This window comes from Homo sapiens, chromosome 17, assembly GCF_000001405.40.
Source record: "Homo sapiens chromosome 17, GRCh38.p14 Primary Assembly".
Lineage (NCBI taxonomy): Eukaryota > Metazoa > Chordata > Mammalia > Primates > Hominidae > Homo > Homo sapiens.
Genome location: NC_000017.11, coordinates 7,485,699 through 7,498,710, shown reverse-complemented (window position 1 = coordinate 7,498,710; position 13,012 = coordinate 7,485,699). Strand labels below are relative to the sequence as shown.

Sequence of the window (13,012 nt, the reverse complement as noted above, 5' to 3'; positions counted from 1 at the left end):
ATTCTACACTCCAGCCTGGGCGATAGAGCGAGACTGTCTTCTTTAAAAAAAAAAAAAAAAAAAAAAAAGTCCTTTGTAAACTGAAAAGAGATGACATCGTGGTGCTAATTCACTTGAAACACTTATTAAACACTCCTCTGGACAAGGCCCTGGGCCAAACACCAGGTTATCAGGGATGAATAATACACAGCATTCACCAATCTCAAGGAACTCAGTCTAGAAGAAAAGCAAGAGAGATTCTGAACATAAAGCCTTCTGCACTGTTCCTCCACGGATCCCTCTTCCCTGCCATATGCAAGCTGCCCCGGGTTTATACCACCCCCACCCTGAATGCCAGAGACCAACAGCTCCCTGCACACCTGGGCAGCAACAGCCTTTAACAAGACAGTCAAGTCTGGATCCCAATGAACGAGACAGACTCAGATGGCCTAACCCAGCCTGCCCTATCTTGGAAAGCTTTCTGCTCAGGTGGCTGAGAGAGGCCCTGGCCTGCTACGTGCCTTATAGCCGGTCTGCAGGTGAAGGTCACTGGGCTTGGGGTGGAAACGCAAGTCAATGCGATCACCATTGTCTCGGATGATGTACTTGGCGCCTGGGTACTGGCTGTTCCCCCTGCGCACTAGTTCTTGAAGTCTAGGAAGGAAAGAGGTGCAATGAACTCAATGCTTCCTAAAATACCCCTGCAGCCACCCTCCCTGAGTGGAAGTTAAACTTCAGAACTTCAATTCCTCCTTGCTCCAAGCCCACGCCCGAGGTAGGAGGAGCAGACTCTCGAAGCCTTGCCACTGAGGCCATGTCTTCCCTAGCCATTCCAGGAAGGGCTTTCCAACGGAGGCACACCTGTCAATGTTGAAGGGGGTGACAATCTCCGCAAAGGTCATGTTGGCAGCAATGGAGCGGGGCACGCCAACCTGGTCAATGGAGAGGTTGGGGTCGGGGGTGATGACAGTACGGGCCGAGAAGTCCACTCTTTTGCCCATCAGGTTCCCTCGCACCCGGCCTTCCTTGCCCTTCAACCGCTGCTTCAGGGACTTGAGGGGACGCCCAGACTTCTGCATGGCCTGTGAGGAAAAAACACAGGGTGGGGGCAATCCAGAAAGTCAGCACTGGGCCCTCTTCCAGAGCTCTGAAGCCTCATGCTAGCCCCCACCCTGGCTCCAATACACAGAGGGGTGGGGAGCATGCTGACTCACACGGGGCAAGCCAGGCAGCTCATTGTCCACCATGGTGGCCACATGGAACTGGAGGAGCTTCACATCCTCTGCAATGACATGGGCCGCTGCGCCGTTCTGCTCATTGCGCCGCAGCTGATTGTTGATCTTCACGATGTCAGCCAGTTTGTGAGTCAGGTCATCCTGAGGCAGGAAGTCAGAATCATCATGGTCCAGCCACCACTGCCAGCGCTCGGCAGGAACGTACCAGGCACACAGCACAGCTCTCATCCTCACACCACCCCAGGAGGCAGGACTGCCCACTATCATTTATAGATTCAGAAACACGTTTGTGGCCTTTAACCATGTGAAAGGACTCATTAAAGATCATACAGCTAGTAAGTAGCAGGGGAATTTTCAAACCCAGGTCCATCCACCCATCCCCACCTACAGGTCTTCCTCCCTTTAGACACCTCGCCCTCCAGCTAAGAGGCAGAGCCCTGGAGCCACTGACCTGGTTACGGGCAGAGCCCTGCATCACAACAGCAGGCCGCACGGAGAGCGGGGGCACAGGCAGCACTGTGACAATCATCCACTCTGGCCGTGCATAGCGGGGCTCCATGCCCAGCACAAAACACTCCTCATCTGAGATGCGTTTGAAGATCTCATGCACTCGCTCTGGACTCAGCAGGATCTTCTTCTCCTGAGAGTCCTCATTAACGTGCTTCCATTCCGCATACAGCTCTAGGCCAGAACGCCGGATCCTGGGCTGGTACCGCCCACAGCCACCATGGCCCTTCCAAGGAGAGACAGGGGCCATCAGAGCCCAGAGGGTGGGCCATTTCCCTCCACACCAGGCCAGCCCCTCCTGTTTCCTTCCCTTCCAGTTTCCTCCCTCCAGGCCTCTGACCCCTCCTTCCCAAAAGTCTCCGCCAGCCCCAGCCACCTTTTCTTTGGTCAGATCCTCGTCACCCTCAGGTTGTTCCACACCGAACTTGTTGTCCATCTCCTCCCCACCCTCGCATATGTTTTTGCCCTTGCAAAGGTCGTAGACATGTGTGAGCCGCTTCTTGGGCTGTCCCTTGGACTTAGCCAGGATATCCTTGATCTTTGGGTTGTTCTGGGGACAGGGCAGAGCAGGGTCAGTTGAAGCTGTCCCCCTGCCCCCTACCAAGCACCCCCGCTCCCAGACCAGAGCCTGTTCCCCACTCACAGAGTCCACAAGCAGTTTGGAGCAGAAGAAGCAGACACAGCGCAAAACTTTCATTGTCTTCACCAGGAAGCCCACGTGAAACACAGGCTTGGCCAGTTCAATGTGGCCAAAGTGGCCAGGACACTCTGTCATGTTTCCTGTGGGACACACACCCAGTGCTTTCCTCCCAGCTCCCACTCATCTCAGAGGCCTCCAGGTGTCAACCGTCAGCCCTAGTTTTGAGGACCCAACCCACCTCCCCTTTGGGATCCCACCTGGCCCCCCAGCACTTACCTGCACATGTTTGGCAGCGGCCAGTCCGCTCAATCACCCCCTGCCTCGGGTCCATCAGCCCCCCAAGCTTGGGGCGGCCTCCCTCAGTCGTCTCTGGGTATTTGATGCCACCCTCCGTCACAGACATTCGCTTCTGCAAAGAAAGAAAGGCCAACAACTGAACAGCGTTCCTAGTTTCTAGCCTTTGTGGCTGGGGAGCTCTGGACTAAGGTCTGGGAAAACCCTGAACTACTTACAGAAGAACTAAGTTTAGCCTGGAGTGAGGGGAATGGGGGATTGGTGTGTGTACACTTCTGAAAAGGCCAAAGTTGAATATCCCAAGTCAGAGGCTTATTCCAGTCACTGAGGCAGGAAAAGCACTCACACTAGATAATGGTCGATCCTGGGTTCCATACAAATCACCTGCTACTGGGACATGAACCCCAGACTTCCATCTGGGTTGAATTCTAGGTCTCTGACATCCATAGGATTTAGCCACAAAAAGAAATCAAAGTTGCTTCAGGAAAAACAAAAAAACAAAACAATGCTTTATTTGTTCCTCCCAAGCAGAAATCAAGCTCATGAATCTGAGATCCTGGCAGAAGCCTCTCTGTACCTGTACCCTCGCCATGACAGCCCAGGTGTTCTGCACCAAGACATGCCCCGCCAACTCAAGCCCCTGATAAGAAACGAGGCACTCAGAGATGCAGCCCTGTTTCTTTTCCCTCATCTTTGTCATGCCCTCCTTCTCAAGGCCTGAACTGCTTGAACCCTTTCGTGTCCAGATGGAGATTTTATTATTGGTTTTGTTTTGTTTTGAGATGGAGTCTCGCTCTGTCGCCAGGCTGGAGTGCAGTGGCGCAATCGCAGCTCACTGCAACCTCTGCCTCCCGGGTTCAAGTGATTCTCCTGCCTCAGCCTCCCAAGTAGCTGGGACTACAGGTGAGCGCCACCACATCGAGCTAATTTTTGTATTTTTAGTAGAGACAGGGTTTCACCAGGTTGGCCAGGATGGTCTCTTGACCTCATGGTCCACCCGCCTCGGCCTCCCAAAGTACTGGGATTACAGGCGTGAGCCACCGCGCCAGGCCAGAGATTTTATTAAAAGACTGGAGAAACAGGTGCTAGAAAAACAGGTTGGTGGAAATGATTTGAAGCAAAAGTGAATAGCTGGAATCCCAAGAAAGGAAGAGCCAGGACTTGATGGGGACATTTCAATGAAGGAAAGGAGGAAACAGAAGAACTCAGAAGTAGATGGGCCGGGTGCGGTGGCTCACACCCGTAATCCCTGCACTTTGGGAGGCTGAGACGGGTGGATCACCTGAGGTCAGGAGTTTGAGACCAGCCTGGCCAACATAGTGAAACCCCATCTCTACTAAAAATACAAAAAAATTAGCTGGGTGTGGTGATGGGTACCTGTAATCCCAGCTACTCGGGAGGCTGAGGCAGGAGAATCACTTGAACCCAGGAGGCGGAGGTTGCAGTGAGCTGAGATCGCACCACTGCACTTCAGCCTGAATGACAGAGCAAGACTCCGTCTCAAAAAAAAAAAAAAATTGTAATGCTATTGTACACTTAGACTTAGTAGACTACAGCATAGTACTAATGTAACATGCACAATGGCAACCAAAAAACTCCATGTGACTTGCTTTATTGCGGTGGGCTGGAACCAAACTCACAGTATCTCCAAGGTATGCTTGGATACTCATTCTCAACTCTCTAATTCCAGGCCTTACTTTTCTTCTGGACTTTGGGTTCACGTATGTGACTACCTACTGAACCCCCTGCAAACATCACACCAAAAAATCAAATTAAACATGTTTAAAAGCAAACTCTCTTTTCCACAAAAGCTTCTCTTTTTCCTTTAGTCTCTATCCCAGATTCAGAAACCTATGCTTACCTTTCCTTACCTTCAAGCACAAAACAGTCCAAAGAACATGGACTTAGCTGTCGGGCACCCTTGCTTTGGAATTCTGCCTATATTACTTATGAACTATGTAACCATTAAGGACTTAATTAGCTTGCTTAAGTCCAGGATGTAATTGGCGCTTTATGAATGGACATTATTATTATTCAGTCATTCACCAGGTACTGGTCACTTTTACCTCCCTTTTTTTTTTAAGAAGTCTTGCTCTGTCACCCAGGCTGGAGTGCAGTGGCGGGAATCTCAGCTGGGTTTACACACATAAGCCACCACGCCTGGCCTCCTAAGTGTTTCTTGAATCTTGCCTCTCTTCTCCATCCCCACCACCATTGCCCTAGTTCAGGCCCTTCCTTTGTAGTCTACAACAGAGCGTTCCTATGGGTCACCAGCCTGTCTCTCTCCAATCCTTCTACATTACAACTGGGGTGCTCATTCTAAAATAAAAATGTGTGCTAAAAATAAATAAAATAAAAATTAATAATAAACTAAAAATGTAATCATTCATACCCTCTTGTCCTCAGACTGACATCCAAACTCAGCAGGACAGCTTCCCAAAAGGATTTTATGATGTTCTCAACCTTCATTTCCCTGATGCTCCACACCTTCCTGTTCACTCCTCAGTAACAATTCCCTGGAGTCGCCTATCACATCCAGCGCAACACGTGCTGCGTTCCTCCGGGGTTTTCTATATGCTAGTGCCTCTCTGCTTGGAATGCTCTTCCCACTGCAAAACTCCTATTTCAAGACTCGGCTCAGGCACTGCTTCCTCCAGGAAGCCTTTCCACAGCCTGCCCAAAGTAGACAGGCACCCCTCCTCTGTGCTTCCACAGCCCTCTATCACTGCACATACAACAATGCAATAAAATGACCTATGGGGGTCTGTCTTCCCTATAACTATAAGCACCTCTCAGGCAGGCAGAATGCCTCAACCATCCTGAATCCCATGTGCCTGCCTGAAACATGGTGGGCTCCTAACAAATGTCTGTTAAATTGACCTACTGCTTAGGACTCTCCACTGGAGGGAGGTACCCTCAAAAAACTTGGAAAAAGAGAGGTTACCCTCTGACAGTCAAACCAGTAATCCCCTCATAATAGGTCTGATTGGCCACTGCTGGGTAGAAACCAAAATGGTCTACAGATGCAAAGCTGAAGAAGTTCTGCACACCTCTCAGCCTCAGACAGGTTCAAAACTCTCATCAACATGACCTGATGAAATCTCAGGAAGACAGTCCTCATGGATGACTACATTTGCAAAGCTGGAACCTCATCAGCTGCATTGTCTGGTGAGAAACATGAAGGGGATTTGCTCACCTTGAATGAGACCAAAAAAAGCGGAAGCAGTTACGTATCTGGCCTCCACAACAGACACTGCAGAGGGGCCTAAGAGAAATCAGGCTCAACATTTTCAACCTCTTTCTGCTCAAAGTCTATGCCGACCAAGCCAACCACCCTTCTAATGACTAATTCTGCTTTCAGGCTTTCTGAGACCGGGTCAGGGGGTGTCCTAGACAGCAGACACGCATATCCTTGTTAATGAGAAGAGCTATCCCTCCATCACCAAGTTCACGAACTCTCATTTTTTATTTTATTTTACTTTTTTTTTTTGAGACAGGGTCTTGCTGTCACCCCGGCTGGAGTGCAGTGGTACAATCTCGGCTCACTGCCACCTCTGCCTCTCAGGTTCAAGTGATTCTTGTGCCTCAGCCTCCCAAGTAGCTGGAATTACAGGTGCTCACCACACTTGGCTAATTTTTGTATTTTTAGTAGAGACAGGGTTTCACCATGTTGGCCAGGATGGTCTCAAACTCCTGGCCTCAAGTGATCCACTCACCTTAGCCTCCCAAAGTGTTGGGATTACAGTCGTGAGCCACCGCACCAGGCCTCAAACTGTCATTTTAAATTAGCCCCCAACCCTTCGGCCAACAATGGTTCTCACTGCCTACAGGATAAAGGTTAAACACTTGAGGGGGTGGCCAGTCAGGCTGGGTTCTCTTTGGGTTCTGCCCCTGAGGCCACAATAACAAAAGGGCTGTCATTGAATCTCAGTAAATACTCGTCCTCTTTCCTCTGCTTTAGCAAAGCTAACAAGGTCCTTATTACAATTTGGCTTCAAGTTGCTTTTACAGCTTTATTTGGTACCACATTCTCCTACCCGCCTCCCACATTTATGTTCTAAATACAATAGATTTCTCAAATCTCCTTTTGCTTCACACACCCCCTTGGGAGTAAACTTCTATTTATTCTTTAAGACCCAGTTCAGAGGTCACCTCCTTATGAAGTCTTCTCTAACTCTTCCTAGTCTTATGCACACCCCAGCAAGGTTCTCAGCCCAATTTTAATTACTTGGTGACACATCTGTCTCTCTCATTGGACTGTAATCCTTGAGGGCAAGGGTCATGTTTTCTCTTCATATCCTCAGCACCTAGCACAGTAACCAACATATGGTTGAGGCTCAGTAACTATTTGCTGCATACATAGGAAATCCCTCACAAGATTATAGGTAACTTGAAAACAAGGATCATCTTCTCACTCATCAATGTAGCCCACACTCTACCTAAAAGAATACATTATTGACCAGGCGCAGTGGCTCAAGCCTGTAATCCCAGCACTTTGGGACGCCAATGCAGGCAGATCACCTGAGGTCAGGAGTTCGAGACCAGCCTGGCCAACATGGTAAAACCCTGTCTCTAATAAAAATACAAAAACTAGGCCAGGTGCGGTGGCTCATGCCTGTAATCCCAGCACTTTGCGAGGCCAAGGTGGGTGGATCACAAGGTCAGGAGTTCGAGACCAGTCTGGACAACACAGTAAAATCCCGTCTCTACTAAAAATACAAAAAAGAAATTAGCTGGGTGTGGTGGCGTGCTCCTGTAGTTCCTGCTACTCGGGAGGCTGAGGCAGAAGAATCGCTTGAATCCAGGAGGCAGAGGTTGCAGTGAGCACAGACTGTGCCACTATACTCCAGCCTGGGCAACAGAGCTGGAGTCCGTATCAAAAAAAAAAAGAACAGATTACTGCTTTAAATCCTTATTTAAATAAGTCAGGGTATAAATAAGTTATGCATTCCATGATAGACAGTTGTTTTTAATGAATAGGGGTCAACTACTGCGAAGGAAATCCAGCACCCTCTTTCCCCAAAATTTTGTGCACACGCTGGTACAAAGCTCTAGTACCAACCCGCCTTGTAACCTTCCCCTCACCTAGCAACATCTAAATCCATCTTCTAACAGCAAGGACAACAGCTCTATCTCAAAGCCAATTCAAAGACCCCTCCGTACCTCCATACACTCTGACCCCTAAGACTTCTGTAAAACATTTTAGCCTAAAATACCACCTGTTTCACAACAAGAGGCACCTTACTCACCCTCACCCATCCTTCTACCCAAAATTGAACCGTCTGTTGGTCCCTCAAAATACAGACATCGTATAAACTGCAAGACATGCAGAGCACTATCGAAGCCCAACAATCCTACACCCCAGAGATGACTCTGGTAGAGCTTTGTCAACAGTGTCCCATACTTTTATTTGTTATTATTCCATCTTGGGTCAGTACAACCTCCGCCTACCAGGTTCAAGTGGTTCATATGCCTCAGCCTCCCAAGTAGCTGGGATTACAGGCACCCACGACTACACCCAGCTGCTTTTTATATTTTTAGTACAGACGGGGTTTCACTAGGCTGGACAGGATGGTCTTGAACTCTTGACCCTCGGGGATTTGCCCACCTTGGCCTCCCGAAGTGCTGGGATTACAGGAGTGAGCCACCGTGCTCAGCCCATTTGTTATTATTATTTTTAAATTGAGATAGGGTCTTGCTGTGTTGCCCAGGCTGGTCCTGAACTCCTGGCCTCAAATGATCCTCCTGCCTCAGGCTCCGAAAGTGCTGGGATTACAGGCATGAGCCACGGCATGCATTTTTTTTCATGCTTTAAAAAAACCGTAAATACGTTCCCACTTTAACATAAGGCCTTCACTCTGCATACTTCTGAGTAACTTTTTCATTTATCCATAGATTCCCTAACATTATCAACAGCCCACAGTGCCCTTACCATTTCAGTAACTCTCACAGCACTTACTAGGTCAAAAGAGAGCCACAGCCGAGCGCGGTGGCTCACACCTGCAATCCCAGCACTTGGGGAGGCCAAGGTGGGCAGATCACTTGAGGTCAGAAGTTTGAGACCGGTCTGGCCAATGTGGTGAAACCCTGTCTCTACCAAAAATACAAAAATTGCCGGGCATGGTGGCGGATGCCTGTGATCCCAGCTGCTTGAGAGGCTGAGGGAGGAGAGTAGCTTGAACCCAGGAGGCAGAGGTTACAGTGAGCTGAGATCTCACCTCTGCATTCCAGCCTAGGCAACAGAGCAAGACTCCATCTTTCCAAGAAAAGACAGCAATTTATTAAGCACCTAGACCCAAACAACTTAAGCATTTATGTCCTAGGAACTTACTAGCCATTTGAGAAAATACACACAAGTTGAAAATACTATTAATATATTAAAACAAAATAACATTTTTATTTCTTTACCAAATAACCATCTCACTCACTTATGGCGCCTGTTAGGCACTGCACCTCTCAAACCTTGGAATCAGACTAAACAGCACCACCTTTATTTCTTCTACAAACTGATTTTTGCCTGTACTTAGCAACTGCTAAAAACCCAGTTTCACAAAAATATGACATTATAGAAAGGGATTTGGCACCATCTAATGTTGAAACAGAACTACCAGGAACTAGGAGTTCCAGGGTATCTGACAAATGTACCTGTGTTTCTCTTGGAAATTTAAAATACCTCACTGTGCCCACCGTGTGCCACAGTGTCTCAGGGCATCAGCACAGTGTGGGACCTTATTGGGAAGTTCCTCTATTACATTGTAAGAATACACCCTAAGTTATTCAACAGGATTCCTATTAGTAAATACCGAGTAATTTATAATTGTCACTTTCAAACAATGTTGCAATAAAAGTCCTTCTACATTATCTATGCATATTTGCCCAATTATTTCATTCACTTGTTTATTCAACTAATTTTTATTACATGTCTATCATGTGCCAGGCACTACCTGAGATACTAAGGGAACATGAATAACACAGACAAAGTCCCTCATGAAATTCATTCTCTAGCAAGGAAGCAAGAAACAGAAAAACTAATCCTTTCTGGAGTGACAGGCTGTGAAGGAAAATATAGCAGAGAATGATCAGAGAAAACAAGGGAAGGGCGGGGGATGCTATTTAAACAGAGTGGTCAGGGAAGCGCTCCTAAAGATATGACATCGGCCAGGCGCAGTGGCTCATGCCTGGAATCCCAGCACTTTGGGAGGCAGAGGAGGGGGATCGCTTGAGCCCAGTTCACCAGCCTAGGTAACATAGTGAGAACCCATCTCTACAACAAATTTAAAAATTAGGCATGGTGGTATGAGCCTGTTGTCCCAGCTACTGAGGTGGGGGTTGGGGGTCTGTCTGAGGTGGGAGCATTTTTTTTTTTTTTTTGAGACGGAGTCTCGCTCTGTTGCCCAGGCTGGAATGCAGGAGCGCAATCTCGGCTCACTGCAAGCTCCACCTCCCGGGTTCACGCCATTCTCCGGCCTCAGCCTCCCAGGTAGCTGGGACTACAGGCACCTGCCACCACGCCCTGCTAATTTTTTGTATTTTTAGGGGAGACGGGGTTTCACCGTGTTAGCCAGGACGGTCTCGATCTCCTGACCTCGTGATCCGCCCGCCTCAGCCTCCCAAAGTGCTGGGACTACAGGTGTGAGCCACCGCGCCTGGCCTTTTTTTTTTTTTTTTTGAGACAGTCTCACTCCGTCACGCAGGCTGGAGTGCAATGGCACAGTATCAGCTCAATGCAACCTCGACCTCCCAGGTTAAACTGATTCTCCTACCTCAGCTTCCCTAGTAGCTGGGACTACAGAGGCGTGCCACCACACCTAGCTAATTTTTGTATTTTTAGTAAAGACAGAGTTTCACTATTTTGGCCAGGCTGGTCTCAAACTCCTGACCTCGTTATCTGCCCACCTTGGCCTCCCAAAGTGCTGGGATTACAGACGTGATTGAGCCTGGCCAGGGAGCATCTTTTGAGCCCAAGAGGCTGCAGTGAGCTGGGATCGAGCCACTGCACTCCAGCCTGGGGGACAGAGGGATACCCCGTGTCCAAAAAAAAAAAAAGATATGCCATTTCAACACAGAACATACAGACATAAAGGAACAGGCATGCAGAGCAGAGGTCTGAGCAACGTTGTTCCAAGCAGGAGGAATAGTGAATAATAAAGTCCTTGAGGTGGGAATAAGCTTGCAGTGTTAGAGGAGCAAGCAGTCAGCGTGGTTCAAGAAAAGCAAAGAGGAGACTAGTAATGAGATGGAGAAGCAAGCAGGAGCCAGATAAAACAGCACTTTATAGGTCAGAGTAAGGAGTCCTGAAACCTCTGGAAAGGATTCTATGAAGGGAAGGGATGAAGAGATCTCTCTAGCCTGTTCTAGCTGTTCTTACAAACTGTAGGAAGACCAATTAGGGCTCTATAGCACCCCACAGGAAAGATGACAGTAGGGTGGGATATGGTGGGACATGGTGGTGGAGATGGTCATAAATGGCTGGATTCCAGGCATATTTTGAAAGGTAGGACTGACACTCTGGCAGATGGACTAAGTGGAGATTGTGAGAAAGAGAATCAAAGATGGCTTTTAGATTTTTGGCCTGAGCAAATGGATGAATGGAGAAACTATTTAATGAACCATGCAAGACTGGGAAAGGGGCATCATTGAGGGGATAATTAAGCTTTTTTAACCTAAGGATGAATTTTTATAAGTGGTAATGCTTGATCAAATGATTTACATATTAAAAGGTTGATAAAATTGTTAGACCAGAGGCCGGGCATGGTGGCTCATGCCTGTAATCCCAGCACTTTGGGAGGCCAAGGCGGGCGGGTCCTCTGAGGTCAGGAGTTCAAGACCAGCCTGGGCAACACGGCAAAACCCCATCTCTACTAAAATACAAAAATAGCCAGGCATCGTGGCACACGCCTGTAATCCCAGCTACTTGGGAGGCTAAGGCAGGAGAATCGCTTGAACCCGAGAGGTGGAGGTTGCAGTGTGCCAAGATCGTGCCACTGCACTCCAGTCTGGGCAACAAGAGTGAGATTCCATCTCGAAAAAAAAAAAATTGTCAGACCATCCTCCAAAAAGGTTATACCAATCTATCTTTCTACCAACAATGTATAAGCACGTCTATTTCCCAGTATTTTTGCCAGCAGGGAAAAAAAATCAGATGAGAAAAAATTTTATTTTAATCTGGATTTTTTTTATTAGAAAGTCTACTCTTTGTTGGCCATTTGCACTATTTCTGTGAACTGCCTATTCATCTCCTTTACCCATTTTTCTAGTAGATAGGTACTTTCCTTACTGATTTGTGTTCCTTGTACATCAATAAATTTAACCTTGTCTGCGTAATTGCAAATACTGTTTCCTGATCTGTTTTTCAGCTTTGCCACAGTGCCTCTATAAACAGAAGTGGCTCTTATTTTTATGTAGTGAAATCTGCCTTGGTCTTCCTTATATATAACGTTTAGCTCATTTTAGGCACTCCATAAAATTTGCCTATAATTAATTCACTACTATTAAGGACTTCTGTCTCTGGTATCAGCCCTGCAAAAGCCTTCTATTTTTTTTCTAGTGCTTTATGGGTTTTTTTAGGTTTAAGTCTTAACTTCATCTGGAACTGATTCTGTGGTATGGTGTGAGGTCAGGACGTTCTGACTCCTGACATAGCTGAACTTTCTCCCAGCAAAAATGGTCTCTATCCACAAACAGCCACTTAACTCCATTCTTTCCAGCCAGTGGGCTCCTCTACTTAGCGCCACAAGGGAAAAAGTCCAAGTCACCAATAGCTCTCCCCTAGGGCTGCCCTCCTCTCTCTGGTCTCTCCTCCTCTCGCATCAGTTCTTCATAGAGCAACTACAGCAGTAGTTTTTTCAAATGTGCTGTCACTCTGTTTATAATTGTCAACGACTACCTACTGAAAATGGAATTAAGTCCTGACTCCTTACCATAATATACAATATCCCATGCTTCTCCAGCCTATTTCTGTAACACTCTTCTCTCATCCACTAAACCTCAGCCACACCGGCCGCCTTTCACCCTGTAGGACAAGCCCAAGTTCATTTCTCCCTCAGGCCCTTTGCACTTGCTATTTCCTCTGCCGGAAAAGCTCTCGCCATCCAAACTATGGCTTCGACGACTGGCTGCCTCTCATCATTTGGGTAATGTCTTCTAAGATAGGCCTTCCCAGACCCTGACGCCATCCCATCTAAAGTAGCCCCACCTCGACGGGCGCGGTAGCTCACGCCTGTAATCCCAGCACTTTGAGAGGCCGAGGCGGGTGGATCACCTGAAGTCAGGAGTTCAGCCATTGCACTCTGGCCTGGGGAATAAGAGCGAAACTCCGTCTCAAAAAAAAAAAAAAAAAAAAAAAGACGGGGGAGAA

The 13,012-nt window shown here is 47.8% G+C and overlaps 1 protein-coding gene across 1 annotated transcript in view; it reads right to left on the bottom strand.

Moving 5' to 3' along the window:
* The window catches only part of POLR2A (RNA polymerase II subunit A), a 30,251-nt gene that overhangs the window by 15,906 nt on the left and 1,333 nt on the right, over positions 1–13,012 (bottom strand). Inside the window, 7 exon segments of the mRNA NM_000937.5 lie at positions 501–633; positions 841–1,061; positions 1,194–1,355; positions 1,666–1,947; positions 2,098–2,271; positions 2,365–2,501; positions 2,638–2,770. Coding sequence (NP_000928.1) covers positions 501–633; positions 841–1,061; positions 1,194–1,355; positions 1,666–1,947; positions 2,098–2,271; positions 2,365–2,501; positions 2,638–2,770 — 1,242 coding nt within the window.